The sequence below is a fragment of the Homo sapiens genome, chromosome 7, assembly GCF_000001405.40.
Source record: "Homo sapiens chromosome 7, GRCh38.p14 Primary Assembly".
Lineage (NCBI taxonomy): Eukaryota > Metazoa > Chordata > Mammalia > Primates > Hominidae > Homo > Homo sapiens.
In genome coordinates this window covers 155,590,285-155,601,664 of record NC_000007.14, presented here as the reverse complement: position 1 = coordinate 155,601,664, position 11,380 = coordinate 155,590,285, and the positions used below count along the sequence as shown (strand labels likewise).

Genomic DNA, 11,380 nt, shown 5'->3' with positions numbered 1-11,380 from the left:
TCCTCAAATAACAAGTTAAAGGCATGCTTTTCTTCTCCATGTGGGAGACCTGAAATGAAAATTAATGGAACAGAGGTATGTGTTAAAAGTAAGTTTTAAATCTGATTGACTGGAACCTCTGCTTGGGCTACTGAATGAAATTAATTAGTGACCTAATTGGCCTTGTTTCCAAAAATCCACACCTAGATTCAGACAACAGCCCTGCGTTGCTGAAGCACGAGAATCACTTGAACCTGAGAGGCAAATTTTGCAGTGAGCCGAGATCGTGCCACTTCACTCCAGCCTGGGTGACAGAGGGAGACTCGGTCTCAAAAGAAAGAAAGAAATAAGAAATAAGAAAGAAACCTTTGCATATGGCTTTCGTGTGGACCTAAGTTTTCATTTTTCTTGGGTGAATAGGAGCAGTGAAATTTGTGGGTAGTAAGGAAGCTTATGTTTACCTATAAAAAGACGCCAGTCGGTTTCCAAGGTGCCTGTGCCGTTTTGCACTTGCACCAGCAGAACGTGGCAGAAGCTGCTCTAAATCCCTGTCAGTACTTGGTATTGCCAGGTTTAAAAAATAATTTAGCCCGGGCGCGGTGGCTCACATCTGTAATCCCAGCACTTTGGGAGGCCAAGGCGGGCGGATTGCGTGATCTCAGGAGTTCGAGACCAGCCTGGGCAACAAGGTGAAACCCTGTCTCTACTAAAATCCAAAAAAAACCCTGGCATGGCGACATGTGCCTGTAGTCCCAGCTACTCGGGAGGCTGAGGCAGAAGAACTGCTTGAACACAGGAGGCGGAGATTGCCGTGAGCCGAGATCGTGCCACTGCATTCCAGCCTGGGCAACAGAGTGAGACTCCAAAAAAAAAAAAAAAAGCCATTTTAAGAGATGGGTTGTAGTATTTCATTATGGCTCAATTTGCTTTTCCCAAATGGTGACTGGGGTATTGAGCTCTTCCAGGAGCGCCATTGCCCTCCATATAATATACCCTCTTTGGTGACATGTCTGTTTGAACCTTCTGCCCATTTTTTAAATTGGTTTTTCTTATGATCAAGTTTTGACGATTCTTTTTATAAAGTGAATACAAGTCCTTATCAGTTCTGTGCTTTGCAAATTATTTCCTTCCAGTCCCTGGCTTGTCTGTTCATATTCCTAAGTGTCTTTCAAAAAAGCAGAAGTTTTAAATTCCGATGAAGTCCAGTTTTTCAATTTCTTGTGTGGGTTGTATTTTTAGTGTCCTGAGTAATCTTTGTCTAACCCAAGGTTGCCAAGACTTTCTTCTATGTTTCCTTCAAGAAGTTTTATGATTTTACGTTTTACATTTAAGTATGAATGATCTATTTTGAGTTAATTTTTATTATGGATCACAGTTCAAATTTTGATTAAAATTATTATTTTCTGATATAAAATGTAATGTAGGCTCATTGTAGAAAACATAAAATGGAGAAAGTAATAAAATTACCCAGAGCCCAGCCATAAGTGAGAACCTCTTTCAGTTTATCTCCCTCTTTTATGTACAGTGTATGTTTCACATAGTTCAGACCACACTGTACATAGAATTTGTATCTCCCTTTTATCCACTTAATACTTTATTAGAAATACTTGCTCATACACTGTCAGTAAATTGGTTTTTTAAATGAAGTCTCTTTTAATGGTTTTCTTCCTCCTAAAACAAGTTTGTTGCATAAAACTTAAAAACATAGATGAGCAAAAGAATAGCATGAAATATCATTAATCCTACTATGTAGAGACAGCTTGCCTATATCCTTTCAGATGCTTAGCTCTGAAAGTATGTATGGGCATTATTTTATTGACTAAACATAAGCAGTCATATAAATACTTTATAATTGAGTTACTATTCTGTTGCAATATTTAGAATGTGTCCTGTGTTTTACTGTTACACGTACTGTTGGAGTGAAAAATCTTGACTCCATATTTTGGATTTTAGATTTTTTTCTTGGGTTAGAGTCCCAAGACGGTTGCTAATAAGTCAAAGACTATGAATATTTTTAAAGCTCCTGAGTCTCTGGCTCCAATTCCCTCCAGAAAGTTTGGATCAATTTATTTTCTCTCATGTAGGACTCATTATTAATACATTTTGATGTGCAATAATTTGATAGTGAATCATGACATCTCGGTGGGTTTTTTTTTTTTTTGGATTTGATTGCTATTGAGGTTAAACATTTTTTCCAATGTTTACTATCCTTTGTGATGACCTATTTTGCGATTTCTCTGCTTTTCCTTTTACTTATAAGTGAGCATCTCTATCGGGGCACACTCAGGCATATTCACCTTTAGAGAGAAAACATCAGAAAGTCCTGGCAGTTTGACATTACCACTTAGTATAACGTGCGGAAGAGACAAGGAAAATGTATTTCCATCAATCTTGGCGTTGTTGGCTTCTTGATTTTCTGAAAAATAAGAAAGACAAAGTAGATTTTTTGACCTTTGAATTCTTCAATTACCATGCCAAGCTTTCAAGACAATTAAGCCATAAATATTCTTTATATAGGATCTTAGCTTTCTTAATCCCTGATTGAGACCTTGCGCTGCAGGAGCGTGGTGGTGCAAAAGCATTGTCTCAGAGGATGCAGACGTGTTAATAAAAGGTGGGTTGTCAAATGTGTTTAGAAAGAAAATAACGAAGAGAGAACATCATTTGCCTTTCTTAGGTGTCCTGACGATATCACGGTGGGCATTGAACGCTCCTTGAGCTCCCGCTTGGTTTCTGCTCTTTCTGAGCCTTGGTGCTGCCATCTGCTGGCCGTCCTCGGCACTGCGTGTGAACGGCTCCTGAGAAAGGACCAGTTTTAGAATATGGGGCTGAAATGATGACTGAGGGTTTAAGCCTGTTTTATATTTCTGGAGAATATGTAATATGAGCATATGTTGTTAAATATGGCCTGTTAATTCACTCAAAATTGAACAAATGCTCCGGAACAATCCAGATTTGCAGTTTGATGCTCCCATATTGGCTCTGCAACAACTTTGATGGTGGTGGAGCTGGTGATGGTGATGGTGGTGATGATGATAAGGAAAAGCTAGAGATCTTGTTGACGTTATATAAAAGGTCCTTGAACAGCAGAGTTGGTATAGGATTTTAGAGAATGCTTGAGTAACTGGAACTCCTTCGGGAAGCCATCGCATTGAAGGTTGCAGACTTTCTTTGTTTCGTCTGTTCAAAGGGAAATCAGGGGCAGGGGATAGGAAATTCAAACCAGGCTGGGTAGGTATATTCTGCTTTAGAAAAATCAGATTTTCAAAACTCGAATTCATAAGGTGAATAACTTAAAAGTAGCACTTGATTAATTGCATTACAAAGGAATTCTTCTGTTTGGGAAAATATGCTTCCTATTTCTTTCAAATATCTTTTATTCACTTAAAATAATTGGGTTAACACATTGTTCATAACATCATTCATTTTGGGGGGTGCAGAAACACCAGTATCTTAAACCTACTTTGAAATGCAAGATCTTATCAATCTTTATTATTCTTAGATGCAAATTTTGCATGGGTTAAATGGTGAAAGTAAAAGGAGACGCATCTGCAAGTCAGTTTCAAACTGAAATATGAATCATCAAATACCTTTTAGTATTTGATGAAAGATGCACATTTTTCTTTTCCTTTCTAGTCAGAAGATTTTCTTTCACAATCAATTTCCTGCTGGGAAAGCATGAGGACTGATCTATGGGAGCAGAACAAGCCCATTTAGGCCACTTCAAAAATGCAGTACACTTGGCAAGGCCAGTCTGAGACCCAGTTAATGATTCACAGTTTAGAAAGATATGCCTGCTTGTAGATCCAAGTTCTCAACTTAGTAGTTTATTTAGTCTAAGTTTGTGTTCTCATTAGGAGCTCTCAGTCCATCAAATGGCTATTAGGAAAGAAAACAAAATCAAAATGAGCTTTGGGAACCAAACCTCAACGTAGGCCTGGGCTGTCACTCTCCACCCCACATTGCCATGTTTACGTGTTTTTAATGAGTGAGGAGCCCTTCTCATAGGGGCCAACCCCAGACAGCTTGGATGGGACACGGAGACACAGGATGTTCAGCACAGACACCCCCCAGCTGCTCAGTGCTGAGGAGGCATTCATGAGCTTGCTGCTGTGGTTCGGAAGAACTCCAAAGCTAGACACCCTGTTGGTAGATGCTTGTGTGATGTGTCCAGTTGGGTGAGGCTTGGGACTAAGGTGATCCAGGTGGCCTTTAAGAGATTTGCAGTTGAGGAATATTTTTGGCCGATGAGTAAGTCTCAGGAATCCTGCCTGCTTTGGGCAGCAAAAAGAACATTCCTCACCTTCCAGGTCAGGCAGATGGCTCATGCCTGTAATCCCAGCACTTTGGGAGGCCAAGGCGGGAGGCCAATCATGAGGTCAGGAGATGGAGACCATCCTGGCTAAAACGGTGAAACCCCGTCTCTACTAAAAATACAACATATTAGCTGGGCGTGGTGACATGTGCCTGTAGTCCCAGCTACTTGGGAGGCTGAGGTGGGAGAATCACTTGAACCTGGGAGGCAGAGGTTGCAGTGAGCCGAGATCGCGCCACTGCACTCCAGCCTGGGTGACAGAGCGAGACTCCGTCTAAAAAAACCAAAACCAAACCAAAACAAAACGTTCCCCACCTTCTGGAGATGAGGCATCAACACTGCAAACAGAAGGGAAAACTGTGGCAACTTCAGAAGGCATCATTTTAGGAATTTGAAGGTAAATGAATATGCACATATTTCTAGATGCAAAATGTGTCTGGATAATTTTAGAACCGTTTTGCATCTCCATTGCTTTTTGAAGCTCCCACAGGTACAAAATGCAGCCGTTTTCCTAAACACCTGCTTAGTTTCTTGATCTAGTTAGATGAAAGAGCAGAACTATGAAAAATTACTCCGACAAGCATTCCTTTCATCTTCAGGCAGTAAACCATCTTTAAAATCTGATGAAAATGCTTTGAAACAAATAAAATAGCTGGATGTGGGATTCCCTGGAGAGAGACTAGGCATTTTCCCATGTTCCTCAGTTGCAAAACCAGATGTTTTGGAGTCAGAAAACTGTGGTTTTAAAATGTAAAGCCTAAATTCTTGACTTCTCTGCCCTCCTGTGACCATCATTTTAATGTGTGCAATTTATTTTTGATAATTAATCGTTTCTTTGCTCCCCCTCCTAGGTTCTGTGGTTTTTGGGGTCCAGGTACAGGTTGCTCTGGGGCTCCCAGGCATCTCTGCAATCAAGGAAATTGGTGCCAATTGTGAGTGTCCGGGTGGAGCGGGACAGGGACCAGGTGAAAGGGAGGGAGGCCTGGGGATGCTGATACAGGAGCTAGAAAGAAATTAATTTAGGTAGATAGTGAGGGTAAAGGAGTCCTCGGCAAGGTTTCCCTTTTAAAAAGAAGCAGTCCCCAAATCATTGCTTTTCTAACAAAGAGAAGCCTGAAAAATCGAGCTGCAAACACAGATAAGCAAGCTGGAAGTTTGCATGGGTGAATGCCGGCAGCTGGGCCAACAGAAAAGGGCTACCTGAGGGCTGGGCATGTTCAGCATGGAGGCGCCATCTTCCCTTTCCTTTGTCATCACTTGTACAGTAACGAGGCCGGCAACATGGCGCCAGCCAGGTAGAGAACCCACCTGCATAATAAAAGATTAGGGTGGCAGACCAGGTGCAGTGGCTCATGCCTGTAATCCCAGCACTTTGGGAGACCGAGGAAGTTGGTTCATGAGGTCAGGGAGTTCGAGACCAGCCTGGCCAACATGGTGAAAACCCATCTCTACTAAAAGTGCAAAAATTAGTCAGGCGTGGTGGTGGCACCTGTAATCCCAGCTACTTGGGAGGCTGAGGAAGGAGAATCGCTTGACCCTGGGAGGCGGAGGCTGCAGTGAGCTGAGATGGCACCCACTGTACTCCAGCCTGGGTGACAGAGTGAGATTGTCTCAAAAAAATAAAATAAAATAAAAAATAAGACTGGGGTGGCCAGCTTCTTCATGAACTATGCAAATGGCACACCTAGTCCTAACCAGTTCTTTGCGTGCTATGCACATGGCACACCTGATGCGACCAAGCTTTTGTGCTTTATGTACATCAGACAGTGCTGCCTCGAGCTCATTTATAAAACCTCGTGCACTTCACCTCAGACCAGAAGGCCCACTTGGGACCCTCTGTCTCTTCAGGAGAGTGCTTTTCTCTTTCTTTCGCCTCTTAAACTTTCGCTCTTAACCTCACTCCTTGTGTGTGCATGTCCTTGATTTCCTTGGCATGAGGCAATGAACCTCAGATACTACCCCAGACGGACAACACTGCTTTCATGTCTCAGTTTGTTTGAGTTGCTGGAAGAATGTATCAGGCTGGGTGGCTGATAAACAACAGGCATTTATTGAGGCTGCAAGTCTGAGGCCAGGGTGCCAGCACAGTGTGGCCAGGTTCTGGGGAGGGCCCTATTCCAAGTTGCAGAGGGTCATCTTTCTGCTCTGACCTCAGTGGTGGAAAGGCTCCGAGGGTTCCACCCTCATGATCTCATCACCTCCCAAAGGCCCCACCTCCAAATACTTTCATCTTGGGGGTTAGGGTTTCAACATAGGAAATCTGTAGTTACAACATTCAGTCAGGTAAAGGGAACTGGGAGTGGATGGAAACAACACCCTCTCCCTCCGGTGGGGGCGTATCCACTGTTCTCCATGCCTTCCTCCTTCCCCTCCTGCCTCTGTGTGATTTCCCTTCCCTTTCAGCCATCCCAGATGTTAATTTAAACCTGATCTCTCCCATTTAGTTTAGTCTTTGAGCACGCTATTCTCCACCTGTTTGCTGGATTACAGCTTTTGTGGGGGAGAGGGATTCATGGTGAAACGTAAAGGGAAGTGGTCTCCATTTTAATCTAAACAGTTGTGGGCACTGTGGCCTGACTGTGGAACAACAAAGGTGAGGGCACTAGCTGAAGAAGGAGTGGACATCCTAAGCCTGGCACAATAAGGATGTCTTGGGTTGAGGGTCTCAACCTGGCTCACAGCAGAGTCTCCTGGGAGCTTTGAAAATGCTTGTGCAGGGGCCCAGCCCTGGGGTGCTCCTGCAGTTGGTCTGGGTGCAGCTGACCTGGGTGCAGCTGGTCTGGGTGTAGCTGGTCTGGGTGCAGCAGCTGATCTGGGCACAGTTGGTCTGGGTACAGCAGCTGGTCTGGGTGCTGCTGGCCTGGGCACTGCTGGTCTGGGTATAGCAGCTGGTATGGATACAGCAGCTGATCTAGGTGCAGCAGCTGGTCTGGGCACTGCTGGTCTGGGTGGTTCTGGTCTGGGTATAGCAGCTGGTATGGATACAGCAGCTGATCTAGGTGCAGCAGCTGGTCTGGGCACTGTTGGTCTGGGTGGCGCTGGTCTGGGTGCAGCTGGAATGTTTAAGCTTTGCCGGTGGTTCTCATGTACAGCGAGTCTGAGAGCCTGGCCTCGGCGTGGGAAGGGCAGGGGTGATCCTGGGACCACCACAGCGTCTGTCCTTGGGACTGGCTCTTGGCTCTGCCTTGGGTGGGCTCCCATGAGTCCCATGGAGAGCCGGGGTCTTGGGAGGTGGAGGCAGCAGGTAGACACAGTACCACCAGAGAGCCTCGAGGAGCTGCACTGTCTGGGGAGCCATGTGATCCCCACCCTGTGCTAGGTACTGGGTGAGGTGTGAGAACACAGCAGTCAGTGAGATGCAGGCCCGAGTGCCCTGCAGAAGGATGCGTTAAGCTGACCAGCTGCCCTTGGCCTTGGCGGGAGCTCTGGCTCTCCTGGCCACTGGTTGGTACAGGAGTGGCCACACAAGTCGGGGAGCTGGGTGCACCCCAGAGCTGGCAGAGCAGTGGCAGCACCAGCCAGAGGGCCGAGGAGCTCAGCTTTGTGGGGACATTTTCCTTTAAGGGCAGGGCATAGGAAGAAGTGGCTGAATGGTGTAACACCAAGTTAGATTATGAAATATCCTGTGATTTGATGCTTTTTGTGGGGACACAGGACAGAGGTATTAGAAACACCTCTGCACTTTCCTGCCTCATCAGTTCTCCTGGGGGCAAGCTCCCGGGGCTTACAGGGGCAGGGAGGCTTCCAAGGTTTTGGGTGGGGCTTGGCTGTGGTGAACGGTGCTAGGAGCTGATGCAAACAGTGACGCCCTCCCGCGGGCAAGTCCGCCGGCCCCCGGGCCCTGTTCCCTCTTCTCCAGTGCTGCCTCACTTGCTTTCCTATTCAGCAGTCTCAGATGTGAATTTTAACCTGATGTCATGGATTTGGTGTGTCTTAAGGAGACTTTTTTTTTTTTTTTTTTTGAGACAGAGTTTCGCACTTGTTGCCCAGGCTGGAGTCAAATGGCATGATCTCAGCTCACTGCAACCTCCCCGCCTCCCAGGTTCAAGTGATTCTCCTGCCTCAGCCTCCTGAGTAGCTGGGATTACAGGCACTCGCCACCACACCCAGCTATTTTTTTTTTTTTTTTTTGTATTTTTAGTAGAGATGGGGTTTCACCATGTTGGCCAGGCTGGTCTTGAACTCCTGACCTCCAGTGATCCACCTGCCTCGGACTCCCAAAGTGCTGGGATTACAGGCATGAGCCACTGTGCCCGGCCAAGGACATGTTTTATCCAGGGCACCCACGTGATTTGTTCCCATGCTTTGACAGTAGAGAAACAGCCAGTGTGTCTGTCCACGGTTCCTGGGTATTTTTGAAGAGTTCTTGACTTGAGATTGCCTGGTCTGCCCTCCCTTGGAGAGGGACCAGAGACCCAAGCTTCTGGGCTTTGCAAAGCCTCCAATATTGAATCCAATACCCCATCCCCCGGGCCTCACTGGAGAACCAGTGAAGTCGTTCTTAACAAACCTGAGCGCAAGCGTGTTCCTGGTAGCTTCTCTTGTAGTGTGGGTTGTAGGGGTGGCAGGAAGGGAGCTATCAGTTTGGAAAACCAGGGCCCGCAGAGAGGGAGGCCAGTGTCATGGGTGGGATGGAATTCCAATTGAGCGGGAGAAAAGCACTCCACATTCCCTGGAGTGCAACTGAGCCCAGCCGGGCAACTGAGCTAGAAAAGGTCATTCACGGGGGCAGGTGATTGGTCAGGATCAAAGTCAATAATCCTGTGCCCTCCTTCCCGTGCTTCGGCTTTGCGGGGCGGCAGCAGAGAACCCCCAAATCCCTCGGATCGTGGGAACCTTCTGTCACAAATCACAATCATTTGTGTCCTTCACCTCGTTAGATGCTGGGGTTTTGTACTTTTTTTTTTTTTCCTCTGAGGTTCGTTCCCTGAAATATTTGTTTTTAGGAGGAGTTTGGGTTTAGGATTGTAAACTGCATTATGTCTTTAAACCCTTTTTTCAATGGACCACATTGTAAACCTGGGGGAATTTTAATATTAAAATGATGCGAAGGGTTTCTGTACCCATCTGACTTAGTTGAGTCAGTTGTGTTTTTGACTGTCACGCTGCACAGTGACTGAAAAAATATTCAAACTAGGCACGGCATCTCAGGGAAATTAACGAGCGCTCGTGCCTGGGGACGCGCAGCTGGAGTACAGAAACGCTCTTGAGACGTCTCAGCCTCCATGAGAGAACTGGGAGGCCAAACCCAGACTGTGCAGAGGTGGGGGGAGTGGGGCCCATTTTAGAGAAGAATTGTAAAGTAAAATCTGTGTGACAGCAAGTAAGAGATGTGACTCCAACATAGAGGCAGGTGACTATGGGTTCATGCAGCCGGCTAGTGCCACGTTAGGGAAAACAATTCTCAAAGTCTAGTGGTCAACGGATTGTCTGGGCCTTAGAATGCATGTCTCCAAAGGAACGTCGCGAGAACTGCTGGGGGCCTCCCAGCGGCCCTCAGAGGCCCAGTCGCTAGCAAACAGCAGCCACGACTTACTTGTCGGAACTACCCATATTTTCCTTCTGGGCAGTGTGGCTATGGAGAGAGCTTGGGGAAGGACCCAGAGGCCTGACATCTAATCCCGGCTTCACTGCTGTGGGAACAACTCAAGACCAGGCTAGGGACAGTGAGCACTGGGCTCATTGGAGAGGTACGGGAAGTGAGACCACTGTCTCTAGCAGCCACTCAGGAAGCCAGACCATAACCCCTCTAACCATCGGCCCCAAATGGCCCGGGCTTGGTTCATAACTGCCACTTCCCTAATTGTTGCCCCCGCTTACAACTCAGGAGCTTCTCCAGCAAGGGGGCCGCTCCCTCACCTATGTTTGGCAGAGACCCCAATGTGGGCAGGGGATGGGTGGGCCTCACCGTGAGAAAAGAAGGCTCCCACCTGAGCACCAGGCCAGTTCCCTGGCTGGAGGCTGCCGTCGTGGGAACCTGGAGGTGGCTCAGAAGCAGCATGTCCCAGTGATACAGAAGGGCTGGGCTCCTGGCTAACCCCCACCCTTAAGCCTGGAAGCGCAGCCCTAAGTGAAAACAGCTGACTCATTTTTCCACCTGAACGTTGCCTTTTTGGCCTGCCCCGCCCCATCCTCTGCCCATAAAAGACTTCAGCTGGCAGAGCAACACAAGCAGCTGAGCATTGAGGATACAAGCAGTTGAGCATCAGAGCTGTGGCTAGACGTGGCTAACTTCAGATGGTGTGGCTTCAGAGAGGGCCGGGCTTCTGGGAGAGATCACCTTCCCATCCCCTTTCCAGCCTCCCTTTCTGCTGAGAGCCACACATCACTTAGTAAAGTCTTCCGCATTCATCACCTTTCGAACAGCTCGCGTGACCTGATTCTTCCTGGGCACTGGACAAGAACCCGGGTGCCGAGAGGGCAGGGGCTGCCACCCTGACCCTCCACTGAGCTGGTTGGTACTTGGCTGTTCCTGGACAGCAGAGCTGAAAGAGCATTGGTTGTAACATGCTTGGACGCTTCTGCGGGGCCCTCACGGAGCCCGCTCCCGCCAGAGGCGAGCCACGGGCAGCTTCCAGCCACTCCAGTTGCTGTCCTCAAAGGGGTCAAGGGATCGTGTCCTGTCTCACCAGGAGATTGGCTGGGGCCACATTTGGCTTTCTCTGGTTGGTCCTGAGTTGCAAGTGGGGACAACAATTAGGGAAGCGGCAGTTATGAAGCAAGCCCGGGCCATTTGGGGCCAATAGTTGCAGGGGTTATGGTCTGGCTTCCTGAGTGGCTGCTTGAGACAGCGGCCTCACTTCCCGTACCTCTCCAATGAGCCCAGGAGCCGGCCTGTAAATAGCGGGGCTGGTTGCTGTGGAGACAGTGGCCTCACTTCTCACAAGCCTGGCTTGTAGATAGCAGGCTGGCTCCTGGGCTGGTTGCTGTGGAGACAGTGGCCTCACTTCCTGTGCTCCTGGCTTATAGACAGTGGGCCAGCTCCTGGGCTGGTGGCTACAGCTTGTATCTCCAGGCTCTGTGTCCACAACTGGTCTGGGCTGGTGGCTACAGCTTGTATCTCCAGGCTCTGTGTCCACAACTGGT

General features: G+C 47.6%; 2 annotated features.

The window, feature by feature from the left end:
* Positions 2,556–2,850: a silencer, noted in NCBI's record as "tiled region #10004; HepG2 Repressive DNase matched - State 4:PromP". NCBI's record gives its function as "represses a minimal TATA promoter and a strong SV40 promoter by Sharpr-MPRA in HepG2 cells {active_cell/tissue: HepG2}" and the evidence as "EXISTENCE:reporter gene assay evidence [ECO:0000049][PMID:27701403]".
* Positions 6,629–7,375: an enhancer, noted in NCBI's record as "H3K4me1 hESC enhancer chr7:155386984-155387730 (GRCh37/hg19 assembly coordinates)". NCBI's record gives its function as "activates a minimal SCP1, AML or CMV promoter by ChIP-STARR-seq in naive H9 embryonic stem cells {active_cell/tissue: H9 hESC(naive)}" and the evidence as "EXISTENCE:reporter gene assay evidence [ECO:0000049][PMID:30033119]".